General features: G+C 44.7%; 1 protein-coding gene across 2 annotated transcripts, besides 5 other annotated features; it reads left to right on the forward strand.

Moving 5' to 3' along the window:
- Nucleotides 1,781-1,830: a silencer, noted in NCBI's record as "silent region_8885". NCBI's record gives its function as "represses an Ori minimal core promoter by ATAC-STARR-seq in GM12878 lymphoblastoid cells {active_cell/tissue: GM12878}" and the evidence as "EXISTENCE:reporter gene assay evidence [ECO:0000049][PMID:35858748]".
- Nucleotides 1,781-2,341: a biological region, named in NCBI's record as "NANOG-H3K27ac-H3K4me1 hESC enhancer GRCh37_chr17:66031597-66032144".
- Nucleotides 1,794-2,341: an enhancer, noted in NCBI's record as "NANOG-H3K27ac-H3K4me1 hESC enhancer chr17:66031597-66032144 (GRCh37/hg19 assembly coordinates)". NCBI's record gives its function as "activates a minimal SCP1, AML or CMV promoter by ChIP-STARR-seq in primed H9 embryonic stem cells {active_cell/tissue: H9 hESC(primed)}" and the evidence as "EXISTENCE:reporter gene assay evidence [ECO:0000049][PMID:30033119]".
- KPNA2 (karyopherin subunit alpha 2) lies at nucleotides 2,048-13,167 on the forward strand. 2 transcript variants are annotated; one of them, NM_001320611.3, is made up of 11 exons: nucleotides 2,048-2,869; nucleotides 3,423-3,520; nucleotides 3,671-3,808; nucleotides 6,991-7,079; nucleotides 8,398-8,666; nucleotides 9,218-9,312; nucleotides 9,413-9,676; nucleotides 10,151-10,384; nucleotides 10,634-10,816; nucleotides 12,085-12,234; nucleotides 12,817-13,167. In NM_001320611.3, exons 2-11 carry the CDS (start codon nucleotides 3,446-3,448, stop codon nucleotides 12,907-12,909), a joined length of 1,590 nt encoding a protein of 529 aa, NP_001307540.1. In that variant the 5' UTR covers nucleotides 2,048-2,869; nucleotides 3,423-3,445; the 3' UTR covers nucleotides 12,910-13,167. The 2 variants fall into 2 exon arrangements, with proteins under 2 accessions (NP_001307540.1, NP_002257.1); NM_002266.4 differs by having other exon boundaries at nucleotides 2,048-2,153.
- Nucleotides 2,361-2,580: an enhancer, noted in NCBI's record as "active region_12635". NCBI's record gives its function as "activates an Ori minimal core promoter by ATAC-STARR-seq in GM12878 lymphoblastoid cells {active_cell/tissue: GM12878}" and the evidence as "EXISTENCE:reporter gene assay evidence [ECO:0000049][PMID:35858748]".
- Nucleotides 14,553-14,753: a silencer, noted in NCBI's record as "peak2956 fragment used in MPRA reporter construct". NCBI's record gives its function as "represses an SCP1 promoter by STARR-seq MPRAs in K562 erythroleukemia cells {active_cell/tissue: K562}" and the evidence as "EXISTENCE:reporter gene assay evidence [ECO:0000049][PMID:32103011]".

The raw sequence follows: 19,987 nt of genomic DNA on the forward strand, positions 1-19,987 counted from the left end.
TATGGTAAACACTCAGAACACTTCTGGGCACATAGTAGTCAGTATTTTCAAGCAAAAGAAACTCAACTTGGCTTGGTATGGTGGTCAGGCCTATAATTCCAGCACTTTGGGAGGCTGAGGTGGGTGGATTGCTTGAGCTCAGGACTTCGAGACCAGCTTGGGCAAAATAGTGAAACCCTGTCTTTACAAAAAATGCAAAAATTAGCTGGACGTGGTGGTGTGTACCTATAGTCCCAGCTATTTGGGAGGCTGAGGTGGGAGGATGGCTTCAGCCCAGGAGGCAGAGGTCGCAGTGAGCTGAGATCGTGCCACTCCACTCCAGCCTGGGCGACAGAGCTAGACCCTGTCTCAAAGAAAAGAAAAAAAAGAAAAAAAAAAAGAGAAGAAACTCAACTTGACAATACAAAAGAAATGTGTATCGGATCTCCTACCTGCAAACCTTCAGAGATAGAGCAGGTCAGACCTCTCAAGGTTTCCCTACAGTTTTCTTATTCAGATTTCTAGGACTCACATCCCTTAGTTCAGAAGAACAGAGGCTGCTTTCCTACCTCCAACCAGTAAACAAAAGGCAGAGGCTGTCCAACTGGATGAATTTAGGTCATGTGCCTGCCCCTGAACCATTCTCAGTAGCTGAGAGAATGCCACACAGTGATTGGTTTAGGGGTGAATTCCTTCCACATTCTTGCATTTAGGGGGATGGGATTATGCTGATTAAGAGTAGGTCCAACCCTTTATGAACTCTGGCTTTACGATGAATGAGGCTGGCATTAATGCCTGCAAAAATGGACAAACTTGCTGTTTGAATTTATTTATAGTAAGAAATAAACCATGAAAACTTTTCTAAAATGTAATCTTTTAGAACACAAAAAAATTGCAGAAACAAAAATGGCCCAGAATCCTGATGCTCTGTTGACCATCTTTGTTTTGTTTGTTCGTTTGAGCATATGGCAAAAAATGCAAAATTCAGAAATGTGTAATGAGCATAGAATGTTACTATAACAATTGAAAAAACTTGAACACACACTACATACTAAACAACAGCATGAAATTTCAGTTTTTCTGAATTTGATGACTGCAGTGTGGTTATATAAGAGAATGTCTTTTCTTAGGAGAGACACCGTGAAACAGAGGAAAAAGGACATGATTCTGAAACTTTCTCTTAAAGTAACATATTAAAATCACACATATGTACACGCGTGCATATGTATACATATATATGTATAGAGAAAGCAATAGCAAATGTGGCAAAATGTTAAGATTTGGCAAATCTGGATAAAGATTTGCAATTCTGCTGCATTTGAAATTATTTAAAAATAAAAAACTTGAGTTTTTGGAGAAACAGGCATAAGAAACCTTTTGTTTCCATATTTGCGGCTTCTATACAGTCTTTTATGATGCAATTAAAAAAAAACTAAACTAAAAAATATAACACAAATCTTCCCTCCCATAGTAGCCAGAAACCCCCGCCGAGTACTTTGGGTGTCATAATAGGAAAAAAATGCAAAGCAATATGTTTTTCTATAAAGATTACTTATTTACTAATTAGAATTTTTTTATTTTCATGAAGATCAACAACAAAGTTTTTAAAATAATGACTTAGAGAATCATTTTGTGGTATTTGTTTAAGGCTGTCGCCCAGGAAAACGCCCAAGGACCATGCACGCTTCAACCCTATGGAAACACGAACGGCCCAGGGAACCGCCCCTTCGCGCTGCTTGACGGGATCTGGAGTCCTCCCGCTCCGCCCCGCCAGGCGCTCAGGGACCGCCCGGCCGCTCCCTCACCGCCCGGCCGCTCCCTCACCGCCCGGCCGCTCCCTCACCGCCCGGCCGCTCCCTCACCGCCCGGCCGCTCCCTCATCTCGCGATGCCATCCTCTTTTTTTTTTTTTCTTTCCCCCCTCCCACTCGCCCCCAAGCCCTATGACTCCCTCCCCTCCCAACGTGTTTTTCAAATCCACCAATGGGCACACAGCTTAGGCTCGAACCAGCCAATCGGAATGCGGAGTCACCGGGAAATTTAAATCGCGCCGGCCGGCTGCACGAGCCACACGGTCTTTGAGCTGAGTCGAGGTGGACCCTTTGAACGCAGTCGCCCTACAGCCGCTGATTCCCCCCGCATCGCCTCCCGTGGAAGCCCAGGCCCGCTTCGCAGGTACAGACTCAGGCGGCGGCCCGGCCCGAGCGCTAACGGCTTGCCCGTGGGCGGCGTTCGCCTTTTGGGTTGGGGGAGGGAGGCCCCGGGTCCACGCCGAGCCTGGCTCTGCCTCCCGCGTTGACTAGGCCTCGGGGGCGACGTTCATTGACCAGGCGGCTGAGTTTCGCGGGGTCTGCGGGTTTAGGGCGCCGACGCTCTGCAAACGGCAGCGGAGGCCTTAACGCGTCGCGGCCGGGAGAATCGGAGCGAGCCAGGCTTGAGGGCGAATGTCCCGGGAGGACTTGTGGCGGCCCTGGTTTCGCCTCCTCCTTTCTCGTTGCATCTTCCCCGGCGTGGGGGCAGGGGCTGGGGGTGGCAGTTGGGAGCACCGTCTCTGACACCTAGGCCCCGGGGGTGGCTCTGCCACCAAGTCGTAGGCGAGCGTAATGAAAGCAAAGATAGCAAATTGTAAGGAGGGCTTTGACTTTTGTCATCTTCTGAATGACGCACAGCTGATGTCATCCTAATTAAGCGCATTCACTCCTAGTCTCTGGAAATGCAAATCAAATATGCGAGATGCGGCACTGCATTTTTAATGTTGACCATAATGTAATGATGAAGCAAATTTTTATTTAATTTTCGAGTCTGCACCTATTTTGGCCAAGTAAAGACAGTAAAATAGGGAGAGCCTCCTGAGGATCTGAATTTATTGCCCTGGCACATAATTTTTAGCTGTAAGTTGACTTGGTTCCCCTACTTTGTCTTGAATTAACTATTAGGGACTCTGGAGTATCGAACTAGGCTGTCAGAAACGGTGGATACATGTGGCTAGTCCAAATTGAAATACGCTGTAAGCTTAAAGTACACAAAAGATTTCAAAGATGGAGTATGGAAAAAGAATGTAGAAGATGTCAGTTATTTTATATATTGATAACACGTTGAAATACTATTTGGATATGTTGGGTTAAGTAAAATACATTATTAAAATTAGTTTCACTTGTTTCTTTTCTCCTTTTTAAAAATATGGCTACTAGGAAGTTTCAATTTATATAGCTTGCATTCTATTTCTGATGGAGAGCCCTCTCCAGGAAGTCTCAGCCCTTTAGAGGGAAGGGGGACACTTCCCCTTTGGGTAAAGCTATTTCATAGTGCCGAAAACATGATGATCCCCCCTCTAGTATACAGGTGTGGATTCAGTAGATGCTTGATAATTCAGTTCTTATTTGGTACTATTATTGACAAAGGAAAATGATAAAGGAAATATTTTTCTCTTCCCCCATCTTTTAGCTTTCTCCCTTTGTCTCATAACCATGTCCACCAACGAGAATGCTAATACACCAGCTGCCCGTCTTCACAGATTCAAGAACAAGGGAAAAGACAGTACAGTGAGTACCTTCTGTTGCTTTCCTGTGGTGGTATTTAAATGGGAAGACATTTGGAAAGGGGTGAAAACTGAGGTATTTAAAAAAAAAATGCCCTCACTTAGCAACAAAAACTGGTGTGATAGGTGAAACGGCATGTTATCTTTTCTCAAGGAAATGAGGCGTCGCAGAATAGAGGTCAATGTGGAGCTGAGGAAAGCTAAGAAGGATGACCAGATGCTGAAGAGGAGAAATGTAAGCTCATTTCCTGATGATGCTACTTCTCCGCTGCAGGAAAACCGCAACAACCAGGTAAAAAATGTATTTTAGTTTATGAGTTACGTGAAATCCAGAAAATCAGTAGGGACTTTTCTTAGAAATTCAAGTAAACTTAACATTTCTAGTCTTAACGGTTTTAACTATCTGTGAACATCTTTTTCTCTGTTTGCAATTAGTAATTGTCTTCTTTCCTGCCTTCTGTAATCCACTGAAGCTGATTTAGGATCTTCCTTTAGCTCTGACCTTCCTTCAGACTTCCCTGCATTTCTAGCTACTAGCTGGGTACCTTGGCCTGACCAGTGTGTCCAGAGCCAGCCAGTTTCTGGTTTATTTCTTCTTTTTTTTTTTTTTCCCCCGAGATGGAGTCTTGCTCTGTTGCTCAGGCTGGAGTGCAGCAGCACAATCGGCTCACTGCAACCTCTGCCTCATGGGTTCAAGCAATTCTCCTGCCACAGCCTCCTGAGTAGCTGGGATTATGGGTGCGCATCACCACGCTTGGCTAGTTTTTGTATTTTTTTGTTTTTGTTTCTTTGAGACAGAGTTTTGCTCTGTCGCCCAGGCTAGCGTGCAGTGGTGCGATCTCCGCTCACTGCAAGCTCCATCTCCCGGGTTCACGCCATTCTCCTGCCTCAGCCTCCTAAGTAGCTGGGACTACAGGCGCCCGCACCCTGTCTGGCTAATTTTTTGTATTTTTAGTAGAGACGGTGTTTCAACATGTTAGCCAGGATGGTCTCGATCTCCTGACCTCGTGATCCACCCGCCTCAGCCTCCCAAAGTGCTGGGATTACAGGCGTGAGCCACTGCCCGGCCTGTTTTTGTATTTTTAGTAGAGGCGGGGTTTCACCATGTTGGCCAGGCTAGTCTTGAACTCATGACCTCGTGATATGCCTGCCTTGGTCTCCAGAAGTGCTGGGATTACAAGCGTGAGCCACCAGGCCCTTCCCGTTTTTGGTTTATTTCTGCCTTTTTTGGTATTCTCTATGTTTTTGTATTTGTCACCAGCTTTGTTCAGGACTTTCCTTCTGAAATATTTACAGTAGCCTCCTAATTTATCATATCCTTCTTTATGCCATATACTATTTTCCTGAAATTTTTCCTGAAGTACTGCTTTAGACCTGTGTTTTCGCTCCTTAAAATCCATACTCCAAATTGCTTGAACCTGGGAGGTGGAGGTTGCAGTGAGCCAAGATCATGCCATTGCACTCCAGCCTGTGCAACAAGAGTGAAACTCCGTCTCAAGGAAAAAAATAAAAATAAAATAAATCCATACTCCAGCTGGGCATGGTGGTTCATGCCTGTAATTCCAACACTTTGGGAAGCTGAAATGGGAGGATCACTGGAGGCCAGGAGTTTGAGCCCAGCCTAGGCAACATAGGAAGACCTCGTCTCTATAAAAAGTAAAGTTAGCTGGGTGTGGTGGCGCCGGCCTTTAGTCCTAGGTATTCAGGGGGCTGAGACAGAAGAATCACTTGAGCCCGGGATTTTGAGGCTGCAGTGAGCTGTGATTGCACCACTGCACCCCATGCTGGGTGACAGTGAGACCCTGTCTCTAAGAAATCCCTACTCTATGAAGGCCTTCCATAAAGTAGACTTAACTTAGATTTTCAAATTTATCTTTCATCTGGGCCCTTTCCTACATGTTTTTCTCACAATATGCTTCCTTTTTTTTTTGTTTTGAGACAAAACCTTGGTTTGTTGCCCAGGCTGGAGTGCAGTGGTACGATCTTGGCTGACTGCAGCCTCCGTCTCCTGGGTTCAAGTGACTCTCCTGCCTCAGCCTCCCAAGTAGCTGGGATCACAGGGGATCACCACGATGTCTAGCTAATTTTTGCATTTTTAGTAGACACGGGGATTCACCGTGTTTCCCAGTCTGGTCTCGAACTCCTGACCTCAGGTGATCCACCCGCCTCGGCCTCCCAAAGTGCTGGGATTACAGGCGCGAGCCACTTCGCCCAGCCAAACATAAACCATTTATATTTGCAGCAACACTTAACCGTGGAAATATGTAGATTATAAAATTAGATATGAAAATCCTCGGCCGGGTGTGGTGGCTCACACCTGTAATCCCATTACTTTGGGAGGCCGAGGCAGGTGGATCACCTGAGGTCGGGAGTTTGAGACCAGCCTGACCAACATGGAGAAACTCCATCTCTACTAAAAATACAAAATTAGCTGGGCATCGTGGCGCATGCCTGTAATCCCAGCTACTCAGGAGGCTGTGGCAGGAGAATCGCTTGAACCCGGGAGGTGGAGGCGGTGGTGAGCCGAGATCACGCCATTGCACTCCAGCCTGGGCAAGAAGAGCAAAACTCTGTCTCCAAAAAAAAAAGTCGGGCATGGTAGCTCATGCCTGTAATTCCAGCACTTTGGGAGGCTGAGGCAGGTGGATCACCTGAGGTTGGCAGTTCGAGACCAGCCTGACCAACATGGAGAAACCCCGTCTCTACTAAAAATACAAAAAAAAAAAATTAGCCAGGCATGGTGGCGCATGCCTATAATCTCAGGTACTTGGGAGGCTGAGGCAGGAGAATCGCTTGAACCCAGGAGGCGGAGGTGGTGGTGAGCCAAGATCATGCCACTGCACTCCAGCCTGGGGATTGAGTGAAACTCCGTCTCAAAAAAAAAAAGAAAAGAAAATCCTCAGAACGTTGCCTATGACTTCATGTCTTTCTCCCTCAAAGTATATCTGAATGCAAGTGATTGAGACTAACGTAGAAATAATCTTCAGTCTGCTCTGATTCTTGATTTTTGAGACAAGGTCTTGTATGGCGACAGGCAAACACCACCATGCCTGGATATTTTTTTTTTTTTTTTTTTTTTGTTGGGAGGTCTCACTGTGTTGCTCAGGCTGGTCTCACCTGAGCTCAAGCCATCCTCCCTCCTGAGCCTCCCAAAGTGCTAGGCTTACAGGTGTGAGCCACCATGCCTGTCCTTCTCGTTCATTTTTTAAAATTGTTCAAAGCTGCCTTTTTTAGCGACAAAACACTTGGATACTCCATAACTTGAGACTCCAGTGAGTCCATGACAACAAGTTTGGAAACTGTTCTACATATAAAATAATGAATATTTAACAGGCAAAATTAAATGTAGGGCTAAATATTTAGTAGCTGGCTATAAGCCTAACGATGTTTACACTTGCCTTCACAAGTAAGTGTGGATTTTATTGTTTGTATTTAATCTTAATGATAATGTGCAAACTTTCACTTTTCTTCTAGGGCACTGTAAATTGGTCTGTTGATGACATTGTCAAAGGCATAAATAGCAGCAATGTGGAAAATCAGCTCCAAGCTACTCAAGCTGCCAGGTAAGTCTTGTCTGCGATAGCATGGGTAGCCTAAGAAATTTGTGTTTTTAGATTTTTTTTTGGGGGGTGGGGCAGGAAGGGACAGACAGATAGTACAAGGAAAGATTAGGCCAGCCAGCCATAAGCCAAATAGTATTTTTTATTTATTAATTTTTTTGAGAGGGGAGGCCTTGCTATTTTGCCCAGGCTGGCCTGGAATGCCTGGGTTCAAGCAGTCCTCTGACCTCAGCCTCCTGAAGTGCTGGGATCACAGGTGTGTGCCATTGCACCTGCCCATAAAGTTTTTACCAAAGTAATGTTTCAAGTCACTGGCAGGGGAAGGAAGAAATAAATAGTAAGTGGGATTGAGACATGCATTTAGAATGATAGATCCATTTAGGAGATAAGTATAATTTGACCTTTACCTCCCACTATACGTGGATATTTATGATATAATAGAAAGGATTAATAAGTTCTATAGCTTGACAGTGTGCAGAAGAAAAATTTCAATGGTAAATTATCATTAAAAAGTTCTAGGCTGGGTGCTGTGGCTCATTCCTGTAATCCCAGCACTTTGGGAGGCCAAGGGGTCGGTTACTTGAGCCCAGGAGTTTGAGACCAGCCTGGGCAACATGGTGAGAGCCAGTTTCTACAAAAGAAATTATTAGCTGGGTGTGGTGGCACATGCCTGTAATCTCACGTGTTTGGGAGGCTCAGGCACAATAATCACTTGAACCCAGCAGGCGGAGGTTGCAGTGAGCTGAGATCTTGCCACTGCATTCCAGCATGGCGACAGAGCAAGACTCTGTCTCAAAAAATAAATAAATAAAATAACTTGGGTGTGGCGGTGCACACTTGTCGTCCCAGCTACTAAGGAGGCTGAGGTGGGAGGATCACTTGAGCCCAGGAGGTCGAGGCTGCAGTGAGCTGTGATCGTGGCACTGCACTCTAGCCTGAGTGGAGTGAGATCCTATTTCAAAAAAACAAAATGTGCTTAACCACAACTATCAGAACAAATTCAGTGAGAGTATAACCCTGTCAGAATGTGAAAAGTTTTTTTAAAAAGTGACAAGATCTGGAGTAGATTTCTGCAGGGATGGAAAGGAGGGTAATCTACATTAATTTCTGGAAAAATGGTAGTTAATTATACCGCATACATAGCACCATACAAGTAATCTGTTCAGCTTCTCTTAGGTTCCAGAATGTCTCAGCATTTAGTGATTTACTTAAAAGGTTGTCTGAAGTTCTAAACTCTTGAATTGCATTTTATATTGGTTTTTACACAAACTCCTTTTGTTAATCACTGTCAACTTTTATTTCTCTTTTTGTTCCCCTTTAGGAAACTACTTTCCAGAGAAAAACAGCCCCCCATAGACAACATAATCCGGGCTGGTTTGATTCCGAAATTTGTGTCCTTCTTGGGCAGAACTGATTGTAGTCCCATTCAGTTTGAATCTGCTTGGGCACTCACTAACATTGCTTCTGGGACATCAGAACAAACCAAGGCTGTGGTAGATGGAGGTGCCATCCCAGCATTCATTTCTCTGTTGGCATCTCCCCATGCTCACATCAGTGAACAAGCTGTCTGGGCTCTAGGAAACATTGCAGGTACTTGGACTTGAAGTTCTTTTGACTGAATGTATCTAATCGTAATTAGTTGGAAGAAAGGCCTTGTTATAAGTAATAGTGACTTTGTCAAGTTTTGAGCTTGCTTTCAAGCCCTTATTAGGAATGAAAGTGTCGTCTTTACAAAGGCAGCAGAGGGCCATCTAAGTAAGTTTGGGAGTTTTTGCTGGTGCATTCAGTCACTGAAAATTGATGGTGTTGGACAAGGTAATAAAATTAATCTTGCCTCGGCCGGGCATGGTGGCTCACGCCTGTAATCCCAGCACTTTGGGAGGCAGAGGCGGGTGGATCATGAGGTCAGGAGATTGAGACCATCCTGGCTAACACAGTGAAACCCCACCTCTACTAAAAATACAAAAAATTAGCCGGGCGTGGCGGCGGGCGCCTGAGGCTGAGGCAGGAGAATGGCTTGAACCCAGGAGGCGGAGCTTGCAGTGAGCCGAGATCGCGCCACTGCACTCCAGCCTGGGCGACAGAGAGAAACTCCGTCTCAAAAAAAAAAAAAAAAAAATTAATCTTGCCTTTTTTTTCAGGTGATGGCTCAGTGTTCCGAGACTTGGTTATTAAGTACGGTGCAGTTGACCCACTGTTGGCTCTCCTTGCAGTTCCTGATATGTCATCTTTAGCAGTAAGTTACTAACATGAGTAAAGTTACTCACTTCTTCATTCTAATTTCCCCCATCTTCTCAAAAGACAGAACCTCTCATTGCCTATTTTTTTTCCCCCAGTGTGGCTACTTACGTAATCTTACCTGGACACTTTCTAATCTTTGCCGCAACAAGAATCCTGCACCCCCGATAGATGCTGTTGAGCAGATTCTTCCTACCTTAGTTCGGCTCCTGCATCATGATGATCCAGAAGTATTAGCAGATACCTGCTGGGCTATTTCCTACCTTACTGATGGTCCAAATGAACGAATTGGCATGGTGGTGAAAACAGGAGTTGTGCCCCAACTTGTGAAGCTTCTAGGAGCTTCTGAATTGCCAATTGTGGTAAGTTATTTACTTGTAGATTAGGACATAAGTATAAGAAGCATGATCAGGGCTGGGCGTGGTAGTGGTGGCTCACACCTGTGTAATCCCAGCACTTTGGGAGACCAAGGCAGGTGGATCACCTGAGGTCAGGAGTTCGAGACCAGCCTGGCCAACATTGTGAAAGCCCATCTCTACTAAAAATACAAAGAAATTATCTGGACATGGTGGCACGTGTCTGTAATCTCAACTACTCGGGAGGCTAAGGCAGGAGAATTGCTTGAATCTGGGAGGCAGAGGCTGCAGTGACCCGAAATCGTGCCATTATACTCCAGTCTCTCAAAAAAAAAAAAAAAAGCATAATCAGTTGATAGTAATATTGAAATATTGCCTATTTCAGGCCATGATGGGCCTCTTGTTAAAACTTTTAGGGTATAGAATTTCTAAAGTGCTGGGGAAAAAATAACCAGCATCAACATATTTTTTTTTTTTCAGACTCCTGCCCTAAGAGCCATAGGGAATATTGTCACTGGTACAGATGAACAGACTCAGGTTGTGATTGATGCAGGAGCACTCGCCGTCTTTCCCAGCCTGCTCACCAACCCCAAAACTAACATTCAGAAGGAAGCTACGTGGACAATGTCAAACATCACAGCCGGCCGCCAGGACCAGATACAGCAAGTTGTGAATCATGGATTAGTCCCATTCCTTGTCAGTGTTCTCTCTAAGGTAACGAAGTCTTAGGATTTAATCAAGTCATTTTTAGTATTTATAGAAAGCTGTGCTTGATAAGCTTCTTCACGTGCAAGAATCTTGGGTTCTACTAGGAGTCCTTTGCTGAACAATACCCAGTAACCCCTTTTACTTAAGGTTGGATAGAACCTTGGTACTTTCAGTCATTGTTTTTGTGAAAAAGTACTCTTGGAATCTTATTTGTGCAACTGTTCTGAAATAAAACCATTTCCTTATGTTTAATAGGCAGATTTTAAGACACAAAAGGAAGCTGTGTGGGCCGTGACCAACTATACCAGTGGTGGAACAGTTGAACAGATTGTGTACCTTGTTCACTGTGGCATAATAGAACCGTTGATGAACCTCTTAACTGCAAAAGATACCAAGATTATTCTGGTTATCCTGGATGCCATTTCAAATATCTTTCAGGTAAGTCCTATCAAGGTGGCTTTGTTTGAATTTGGACTTGATAATAATCAGTTTACTATTTAGACTTGGGGGAGGGCAGCTGTAAGTTTACTCACTAGTAAGCCACAGAATCAGAAAGCCTGTTTATGTGGCCACCCCTTTGATTAAAAATGAGGCAGGCATTATAAAAGATACAAAAGAGACGACAAGTGGATGGTGTGACCTGAATCGGAGTCAGGCGCTTATGTGGACTCATCACACCTGTTTACTTGGTTGATTTAATTTCCCAATTTCATACCGATTTTTGGTGACATTAAATTTGAATGACTTGGCCAGGCACGGTGGCTCATGCCTGTAATCACAGCACTTTGGAAGTCCGAGGTGGGTGGATCACCTGAGGTCAAGAGTTCGAGACCAGCCTGGCCAACATGGCGAAACCCTGTCTCTGCTAAAAATGCAAGAATTAGCCATGTGTGGTGGTGGGCGCCTATAATCCCAGCTACTCAGAAGGCTGAGGCAGGAGAATCGCTTGAACCCGGGAAGCGGAAGTTGCAGTGAGCCAAGTTTGTGTTATTGCACTCCAGCTTGGGCAAGAGTGAAACTGTCTTAAAAAAAAAAAAAAAAAAAGTTGAGCCTTCAATAATGGATGCTAGCGTATCTGTTACTGTGTATAAATAATTTGTCAGTATGTGGCCAGTATTTCTTCTTCCCCTCATCTAATCCCCTAAGTTATTTTGAAGCAAATCTGTTTTTTTCATCTATAGATATTTATGTATCTCTTTAAGGTTGAAAATTTAAAGGAAAACTAACCTACATACCATTCCATATGTCCAGTAAATCCTTAATACCAACACACATTCTGTTTGGGGACGTTTAGTTTAGCACTCCATAGGCCATCTTTGCCCTTAGACACCTTGACTACACCTTGTGATGACATAGGATGCTTTATGAAACAATACACCCCTGTTCCCATAGCAGACCAGTTGAACTGGAATGTAGTGTTGTTTTAAAAGTTGCCCGCATGATTTTGATACATAGAAAAGGTTGGGAGCTACTACTGATTGTAAGATCTTTGGCTCCAGTTGAAGTAGTGCTAAAAGCAGGTACAGATCCAATCACATTGAGTGTCAACAAAATATAAAATGGACATAAAACTATGATAGGCTTGATGAAGGAATTGTTAGGTGCTTATTTCTGCCTGACGTATCAATATTCAAATTATTGATGTTTTCTTCATTAAAATAAAACCAGAGTATATGCCAGTAAACTTGGATTTTTTTTTTTTTTAGGCTGCTGAGAAACTAGGTGAAACTGAGAAACTTAGTATAATGATTGAAGAATGTGGAGGCTTAGACAAAATTGAAGCTCTACAAAACCATGAAAATGAGTCTGTGTATAAGGCTTCGTTAAGCTTAATTGAGAAGTATTTCTCTGTAGAGGTGAGTAATGGATGGTAATATTAATAACAACTTGGAAACATAAAGTCAAGGCCATAAGCCTTTTTTTCCCTTTTAAAAATAAGTGTCATATCTTTGTTAAATATAGTAAAATATCAGTGTGCATGGGACATAATGTACTTATTTGCCCCTCTAGTTTGGCTTGATGGTAATAAAATCTTTTTAAACTGAGATTTTAAAAGCCACCAGATTAGTTTCAAATGAACAACCTTGAGAATCTTAGAATATCTTGAGGGTAAGTTAACGGGTGTCATTGTAGGAGGTGATAGAGAAGTAGGCCAAACTCATCACCATGCTCTGGGCCTAATACAGTCTTTTCCTATTGAAAAGTGACGGTTGGGGAAGAAAAAAATCTCGGCCTGTTTGTGTTACTGTAGTAGCTAGCATTTATGAATTGGCAAAGTTTCAGAGACCCTCCCTCCTCTATGTCAAATACTATAATATCATACAGGATTAAAGGTGTAATATGCAGATCAAGACCTAGAGATTAAATACAGACTTCAGGTAGGCTGCTGCTTGGAATACTTATATCATTTTTATACTTATTTTTTAATATATTTCCAGGAAGAGGAAGATCAAAACGTTGTACCAGAAACTACCTCTGAAGGCTACACTTTCCAAGTTCAGGATGGGGCTCCTGGGACCTTTAACTTTTAGATCATGTAGCTGAGACATAAATTTGTTGTGTACTACGTTTGGTATTTTGTCTTATTGTTTCTCTACTAAGAACTCTTTCTTAAATGTGGTTTGTTACTGTAGCACTTTTTACACTGAAACTATACTTGAACAGTTCCAACTGTACATACATACTGTATGAAGCTTGTCCTCTGACTAGGTTTCTAATTTCTATGTGGAATTTCCTATCTTGCAGCATCCTGTAAATAAACATTCAAGTCCACCCTTTTCTTGACTTCACCATGCCTATGTGTTGCTTTCTAATTTGGGGCCTTTAATGTTGCTAGTGAAAGGTAACCTGTCCAAACTGATGGGATTAACCAGAGGTAGTCCTGGCTGCAGTTTTTGCAGAAGAATGAATAACATTTTCTGGAAACCCTCAGCCAGTGTCTCCTTAAGTCTCCTTGGCCAGGGAGATGGGCTAAACACCGTAAATTTAATCATAAATCTCTGCTGGAGCTACAAATGGAATTCTTTCCTCCCAAACTTCAAGGCCGAATGGGGTTCCAAGGTAAATCACGGCTGCACATGGGCCTCATCTGGGAAAGTACCCAGTTCTGTTTCGTTGATGAGGGGCATGAGGGTCCACCATGTGTCTTTTTTAAAAATGTAATTCCCAAGGGCTCCTGTACAGTGTAGGTTGATAGCCACTACTCTTTGAGATGGTGTCTCGCTCTGTCACCCAGGCGAAACCCTGTCTCTAGTAAAAATACAAAAAATTAGCTGGGATTACAGGCATGGTGGTGGGAGCCTGTAATCCCAGCTACTCAGGAGGCTGAGGCAGGAGAATCGCTTGAACTCCGGAGGCGGAGGTTGCAGTGAGCTGAGATTGCGCCACTGCACTCCAGCCTTGGTGACAAGAGCGAGACTCTTGTCTAAAAAAAAATCCCCTTTGATAATATATCTTTACCTATAACTTTAATTTTTGTATTTGTTTTTGTTGTAAGCAAGGGAGGAAAGGTAATATTCCTAATACCATTTGGCAATTATAGTAAAAACTGCTGACACTTACTTTGCTTGTTGAAATAATCTGAAAAGAGTAACATTAAAAGATGTCAGTGTTAAACATTTCACAAAGTATTCTTTCATTGCTATATTGCATTTTGGCTAAAAATAATCAGGCTACTTGATTATTTTTAGAACAAAGGAAATCAACATTCTGTTTCCTAATGTTGATTTTTTTTTTCTCTCATCAATCTGGCTGCATCATCACTGAAGAAAAAACGGGGTAATTTTTCGTTACTGTAAATCCTTATTGTTAAGATTTTTTATTTCAGCATTTGGCTGCTTTAATTGCATAACAGCAGTAAGAGCAAAGTCAGTTTTGTTCATAGGAGCCATTGGAAACCTTGTCAGATACAGGACCCAAGTTCAGAAGGCCATTAAGGCCTGGCTGCTCCTTACCCCTCTCCACCCTTGCTGGAGCTTGCCAAAACCCAGTGGACTGATTTTGGAAAGCCCTTGAAACGTGTCATTTCACTAATGGTGCTTTCTTTTGGGATTGGGCTGTTGACCTAATTTGTGATGAACAAAACCCGGCCAAATCATGCAGCCTCCCTCTAACTCCCCATGGGAAAGTGTTAGAGAAAAGTGTTTTAGCAACATCACCCATTTAAGTTTCATAACCCCAGCTAATAAAAATGATAAGAAACACCCAAGCTATCAACTAGGGTTTTTTGAGGGCAGAAGTGCAATTTAATTTTGAGCACTTGCATGTTAAATGACATGTTGGCATAGTTTGAAAGCTAATTCTAGTGTCTGAACGCTCAGTTCCTCCTAAATATTTGGGACAGTTTCATAACACTGTGTAGGAGGTGTATGCATCGAACCCTCTTAAACTGATCAGTTCGTGCGTTCCAGGCTTTTCACAATCGTAAATGTCTTTTCCCATCCTAGTTGTGGGAGGTAGCATGGTGCAGTGAAGTGGACTAGTATTTAAGAGCCAGATCTGTCTGAATTCAAATCCTGCCTCTTTATTGTGTCAGTGAAAGACCTTTTGGTGGGGCAGCTAAGTGCTGGCATAAGAAAAGTATAGATACTAATTCCTACATAATAGAAATATCCTAGATGAGTATTACGGCTATTCCAAACTTTTTGTTTTTGGGAATAGCTGTAATAACTGAAGAAACAAAGTTTCGCTGTGTTGCCCAGGCTGGTCTCAAATTCCTGGCCTCAAGCTATCCTCCTGCCTCAGCTTCCCAAAGTGCTGGGATTTGCAGGAATGAGCCACTGCACCTGGCTGCCTCCAACCTTTTAACACCAAAGATTTCTGTTTGTTCTTACATAGACTCTTGTTTTGATATATTTTACCTTCTAGGCTAAGTTGATTATTACTCTTCTTTTTTTTTCCCCCTTATCAGTCAGATACACATAACATAAGATGACCATACTGGATTGTTCATATACTTAATGATGGGATTCTACCGAAAAGTCAGATGTTTTGTCAGCCTTTAGGTCTTTTAGGGGCTTGGCATAGCTTTCTGAACAGTGGAACTGGCTCAAGGAGGGCCCACTGTGACTAAGTTCCTAGACTGGCTGTTAGCCTTTGCAGTATCTCAGTGAGAGGTCCAGCTGTCTTCCTGTGCCCACTGGTTCCCTTTCTCTTAATTCTATTGGACGTAATAATTGGAGCACCTCCTCCCCTAACTTCTCATTGGCCATGAGAACAGGACTGAACCACCCAAGTCCAACTTGGTGATGGAAGCTTGTCAGTATCAATACCTGATAGGCCCCTAATACTAGTGTTAATGAAGTTTCTTTAATGAGCAAACACTTGACTGTTGAGACAGCCACCACAAAGCCATATTTTCTACTATGAAGAAACTCATGTTTAGAACTTGAACAAGTTTAGGCAGAAATATTGGAAGCTTATCCATAAAAACAAGGGAATATGAGGAAAGATTGGATGAATGAGAAAACTTTGAATCAATTCAAAATTAAAATTAATGGTCAAAGGATGATATCCAGAAGGCATCTCCCGATTGTGGCTGCAAAAATACATATTTTAAAAGCAAAACTGTTGAAATAGAGGAGAAATGTAGAAAAACATGTACGAATGAGATGGTCTTTTTCTTTTTTTTTGAGATGGAGTTTTGCTCTCGTTGCCCAGGCTAGAGTGCAATGGTGTGATCTCAGCTCACTGCAACCTCCGCCTCCCAGGTTCAGGAGATTCTCCCGACTCAGCTTCCCGAGTAGCCAGGATTACAGACATGCACCACCACACCAGGCTAATTTTGTATTTTTAGTAGAGATGGGGTTTCTCCATGTTGGTCAGGGTGGTCTCAAACTCCCGACCTCAGGTGATCCGCCTGCCTGGGCCTCCCAAAGTGCTGGGATTACAGACATGAGACACCACGCCTGGCCAAGATGGTCTCTTTCAACCCTTTGTCTTAGACTAAAGTTGTAGGTGACCAATGACTGTCACCCTACTCTGTTCTTGCCCATCCTTTCAACCAACATCTCAGCCACTCAGCAAAGATTAACTTGGGGAACACAAAACTAATTCATTTTCCTTACTTTCTCTCCCTTTCCCTTCCCTTTCCCATCCCTTTCCCTTCCCTTCCCTTTCTTTCTCCCTTCCTTCCTTCTTCTCTTTCTCTCTCTCACTCTTTCTTTTTCTCTCCCTCTCTCCCCTCCCTCCCTCCTTCCTTCTTCTCTTTCTCTCTTTCTTTTTGCTCTCCGTGTCTCCCCTCCCTCCCTCCTTCCTTCTCTTTCTCTCTTTCTTTTTGCTCTCCCTCTCTCCCCTCCCTCCCTCCTTCCTTCTTCTCTTTCTGTCACTCTTTCTTTTTTCTCTCCCTCTCTCCCCTCCCTCCCTCCTTCCTTCCTTCCTTCCTTCCTCTTTCTTTCTTCCTTTTCTTCCTGGTAACTCTTTAAAATGTATTTTCCTAGTTACAGAAATAATACTAATTTTAGAAAGTTTGAAAAACAGAATACCACAAAGATTAAAATAATAACCTAAAATTCTACCTTTGGATTGTATATTTTGGCATGAATAAGAATTCTTAACCTGTGTAACCTGAGATCCAAGATAGGTTATGGGGCTCCTGAACCTCTGAAACTGTATGCACAGTTTACTGTTAAATACATGTGGGTGCTTTTCAAAGAAAGGGGAATATAGCCTGGGGAAAATTAGGCCCTCAAAGGCAGAGCTACCTTCAAAATATTACAAGTTTCAGGTGTAGTTCCTTTCCATTTCTTTTCTTTTTTTGTTTCTTTTGAGATGAAGTCTCACTCTGTTGCCCAGGCTGGAGTGCAGTGGCAAAATCTCGGCTCACTACAACCTCCATCTCCCAGGTTCAAGCAATTCTCCCACCTCAGCCTCCCGAATAGCTGGGATTACAGGCGTGCGCCACCATGACCAGCTAATTTTTGTATTTTTAGTAGGAGACGGAGTTTCACCATGTTGGGCAGGCTGGTCTTGAACTCCTGACCTCAGGTGATCCACCTACCTCAGCCTCCCAAAGTGCTACAGATGTGAGCCAATGCGCCCGGCCTATTTCCTACACTTTTGTAAATGTGCTTTTTTTTTTTTTTTTTTTTTTTTTTTTTGGAGATGGAGTCTCGCTCTGTTGCCCAGGCTGGAGTGCAGTGGCGTGATCTCGGCTCACTGCAACCTCCGCCTCCCGGGTTCAAGCGATTCTCCTGCTTCAGCCTCCCGAGTAACTGGGACTACAGGCGCATGCTGCCATGCCCGGCTAATTTTTTGTATTTTAGTGGAGACGGGGTTTCACTGTTGTTGACCAGGCTGGTCTCAAACTCCTGAGCTCAGGCGATCCGCCGGCCTAGGCCTCTCAAAGTGCTAGGGTTACAGGCGTGAGCCACCGCGCCCGGCCTTTTTTTTTTTTTTTTTTTTTTGACGGAGTCTTGTTCTTGTTGTCCAGGCTGGAGTGCAATGGCGCGATCTCGGCTCATTGGAACCTCCACTTCCCAGGTTCAAGTGATTCTCCTGCCTCAGCCTCCTGAGTAGCTGGGATTACAGGCATGCACCTCTGTGTCCAGCTAATTTTTATATTTTTAGAGACGGGGTTTCACCATGTTGACCAGGCTGGTCTAGAACTCCTGACCTTGTGATCTGCCTGAGAGGTGACAGCGTGCTGGCAGTCCTCAGAGCTCTCGCTTGCTCTCGGCACCGCCTCTGCCTGGGCTCCCACTTTGGCGTCACTTGAGGAGCCCTTCAGCCCACCATTGCACTGTGGTAGCACCTTTCTGGGCTGGCCAAGGCCAGAGCCGGCTCCTTCAGCTGGCAGGGAGGTGTGGAGAGAGAGGCGCGAGCGGGAACCGGGGCTGTGCGCAGCGCTTGCGGGCCAGCTGGAGTTCCGGGTGGGCGTGGGCTTGGCGGGCCCGCACTCGGAGCGGCCGGCCGGCCCTGCCGGCCCAGGGCAGTGAGGGGCTTAGCACCCGGACCAGCGGCTGCGGAGGGTGTACTGGGTCCCCCAGCAGTGCCAGCCCACCGGTGCTGCGCTCGATTTCTCGCCGGGTTGTAGCTGCCTTCCCACGGGGCAGGCCTCGGGACTGCAGCCCGCCATGCCTGAGCCTTCCTCCGCCTCCGTGGGTTTCTGTGCAGCCCGAGCCTCCCCAACGAATGCCGCCCCTTGCTCCACGGCGCCCAGTCCCATCGACCGCCCAAGGGCTGAGGAGTGCTAGCGCATGGCACAGCACTGGCAGGCAGCTCCACCTGTGACCCCGCTGTGGGATCCACTGGGTGAAGCCAGCTGGGCTCCTGAGTCTGGTGGGGACGTGGAGAGTCTTTATGTCTAGCTCAGGGATTGTAAATACACCAATCAGCACCCTGTGTTTAGCTCAAGGTTTGTGAATGCACCAATGGACACTCTGTATCTAGCTGCTCCGGTGGGGCCTTGGAGAACCTGTGTGTCGAATCTCTGTATCTAACTAATCTGATGGGGATGTGGAGAACCTTTCTATCTAGCTCAGGGATTGTAAACGCACCAATCAGCGCCCTGACAAAACAGGCCACTCGGCTCTACCAATCAGCGGGATGTGGGTGGGGCCAGATAAGAGAATAAAAGCAGGCTGCCCGAGCCAGCATTGCCAACCTGCTGAGGTCCTCTTACGCGCCATGGAAGCTTTGTTCTTTTGCTTTTTGCCATAAATCTTACTACTGCTTAGTTTTTGTGTCTACGGTGTTTTTAAAAGCTGTAACACTCGCCGAGAAGGTCTGCAACTTTCACTCCTGAGCCCAGCGAGACCACAAGGCCGTCGGGAGGAATGAACAACTCCAGATGCGCTGCCGTAAGAACTGTTAACACTCACCGTGAAGGTCTGTAGCTTCACTTCTGAGCCAGCGTAGACCATGAACCCACCAGAAGGAAGAAACTCCCAACACATCTGAACATCAGACAGGACAGACTCCAGACACGCCTCTTTAAGAGCTGTAACACTCACAGCGAGGGTTTGCAGCTTCGTTCTTGAAGTCAGTGAGACCAGGAACCCACCAGTTCTGGACACGTGCCCACCGTGGCCTCAAAGTGCTGGGATTACAGGCATGAGCCACTGCACCCTGTCGCTTTTTTTTAAATGTCACTCCCTGATCCTAAGTAGTGTAAGACCTCAGATGAACGAATGTAACTGCCATTGACTAAAGAACTCTAGTTGGACAGGCGTTTTAGCTGTTGTCCTTAAAAGATGGCCTTTGGTTGACATTCGTTCCAAAAGCATGATGAAACACTGAAAACTTGTGTGGTTCCTTTGTCCCAGGAAAGGGAAGATGGCAAGGGCTTATATCTCGTTTGGCAAGGAGTTCACAGTTTCCCTGCAAGCCCCAGAAGGTGGGTGGTAACAATGGGATGTGTTTGGCTCCTCATCCTCCTGCTGACAGCCAGGTCTCAGAGAGGCAAGTCCCACACTTCCCAAGCTCTGGATCCGAGCTTCGCTGCCGCAGAAGGAAAGTCTAACTAGTTAGGAAGCACAGAACTTGCCTGGCCTTCACCAGCATAATCAGATCTGTCATTCTCTTCAGGAACTGGCTCTGCTCTAGGCCTTGTTCTTTGCTCTGGAGGTAACAATTGCCATTTTTCTTTGGTATTTCTGCTGTAGTGATCAT

The sequence above is a fragment of the Homo sapiens genome, chromosome 17 (assembly GCF_000001405.40).
Source record: "Homo sapiens chromosome 17, GRCh38.p14 Primary Assembly".
Lineage (NCBI taxonomy): Eukaryota > Metazoa > Chordata > Mammalia > Primates > Hominidae > Homo > Homo sapiens.

What these genes read in the sequence shown, in the direction of transcription:
- KPNA2 (NM_001320611.3), top strand. Translation starts at nt 3,446, where the DNA reads ATGTCCACCAACGAGAATGCTAATACACCAGCTGCCCGTCTTCACAGA. An exon ending in CAAGCTACTCAAGCTGCCAG is followed by an intron (nt 7,080 to 8,397) that starts GTAAGTCTTGTC and finishes GTTCCCCTTTAG; the next exon opens with GAAACTACTTTCCAGAGAAA. An exon ending in TTGTCAGTGTTCTCTCTAAG is followed by an intron (nt 10,385 to 10,633) that starts GTAACGAAGTCT and finishes TATGTTTAATAG; the next exon opens with GCAGATTTTAAGACACAAAA.